The following is a 1,830-nucleotide window of genomic DNA, read 5'->3' on the forward strand; positions in this document are numbered from 1 at the left end:
GTTGCCCAGGCTGGAGTACAGTGGTGCAATCGTGGCTCACTGCAGCCTCCACCTCCCAGGCTCAAGCCACCATCTTGCTTCAGCCTCCCTAGTAGCTGGGACCACAGGCACTTGCCACCATGCCCAGCTAATTTTTGTATTTTTGGTAGAGAAGGGCTTTTGCCATGTTGCCCAGGCTGGTCTCAAACTCCTGAACTTGAGCATTCCTCCCACTTAAGTCTCCCAAAGTGCTGGGATTACAGGTGTGAGCCATCGTTCTTGGCCTGCAAGTTATGACTTCCTTTCAGAGTCTTTCTATCTGTAGTACAGTCCTCCTGTGCAAGATTGTTTTTTGATTGCTTTTTCTTGACAAATCTTGCTAAAGGTCTGTGAATTTTATAATGTATTTTTAAAGAACCAGATTTTAGCAGGGCATGGTGGCTCATACCTGTAATCCCAGCACTTAGTGAGGCAAAGGTGGGAGGATCACTTGAGCCTGTAAGGGGGAGACTGTTCTAAGCTGTGACTGAGCCACTACACTCCAGCCTGGGCAACAGAATGAGACCCTATCTATCTGAAAACCAAAAAAACCACAAGTTTTAGCTTGGCTGATTCTATTGTGTGTTTCTTTTGTATTTCATTTGTTTGTTACGTTTTTCCTTTTTCTATCTTTGAATTTAACTTGTTCTTTGTCTGATTTATTGACTGATGCTTAGGGTTTTTTTTTTTTTTTTTTTTTGAGACGTAGTCTCACTCTTTCACCAGGCTGGAGTGCAGTGGCACAATCTCAGCTCACTGCAACCTCCAGCTCCTGGGTTCAAGCAATTCTCCTGCCTCAGCCTCCCGAGTAGCTGGGACTACAGGTGTGCGCCACCACACCCAGCTAATTTTTGTATTTTTTGTAGAGATGGGGTTTTACCATGTTGGGCAGGATTGTCTCGATCTCTTGACCTCATGATCCACCTGCCTTGGCCTCCCAAAGTGCTGGGATTACAGGCGTGAGCCACTGTGCCTAGTCTGTTGATGTTTTTTCCAAGTTCCTTTTCTAATGTTCTCATTTAAGACTATAAATTTCCCCAGCCTGGACAGCATGGTGAAACTTTATCTCTACCAAACACACACAAAATTAGCCAGGCGTGGTTGTGTGAGCCTGTGGTCCCAGCTACTCGGGAGGCTGAAGTGGGAGGCTCACTTGAGCCCAGGAGGTGGAGGGTAGTAAGCCAAGATTGTGCTACTGCACTCCAGCCGGGGTGACATAGTGAGACCCCATCTCAAAAAAAAATAATAGACTATAATTTTCCCCTTATGAATGGATTTAATTATATCCTACAGTTTTTAATATGTAGAATTGATGATGAATTTGCCTTATTTTATCTTCAAGCTATGGGCTATTTAAAAGTATACTTTTAGAAAGTTTCTAAAATTGTTACCAGAAATTGTGATCTGTCCACTTTCTTTGAAATTTGTTACTTGTTTAAACACTCGTATATGTGGTTAATTTTTGAACTTGTCCAAATTTTCTTGAAGGGAAGTCTATTTCTGCAGTTAAATCTCATGTTCTGTATGTGTGCATTGAGTCTATTTTTTCATAATTTTAAATCTTCATCCTCCTTAATTATTTTTATACTTTATTTACTGAGAGATATATTAAATATCCTACTAGAAGCATGGATTTGTCTGTCTCCTCATCTGTCAACTTTTGCTTTTTGAGGCTGTACTTGGGTGCATATGATTCAAAAATTATACATCTTTTTTTTAATTTGAACTTTTATCAAAATGAAATGTTTTCCTTCATTTATGTATGCTTTCAACATTATGTATGATATAGCTATAGTAACTTTGGTTAGACTT

This window comes from Homo sapiens, unplaced genomic scaffold (assembly GCF_000001405.40).
Source record: "Homo sapiens unplaced genomic scaffold, GRCh38.p14 Primary Assembly HSCHRUN_RANDOM_CTG6".
In the NCBI taxonomy this organism is placed as follows: domain Eukaryota; kingdom Metazoa; phylum Chordata; class Mammalia; order Primates; family Hominidae; genus Homo; species Homo sapiens.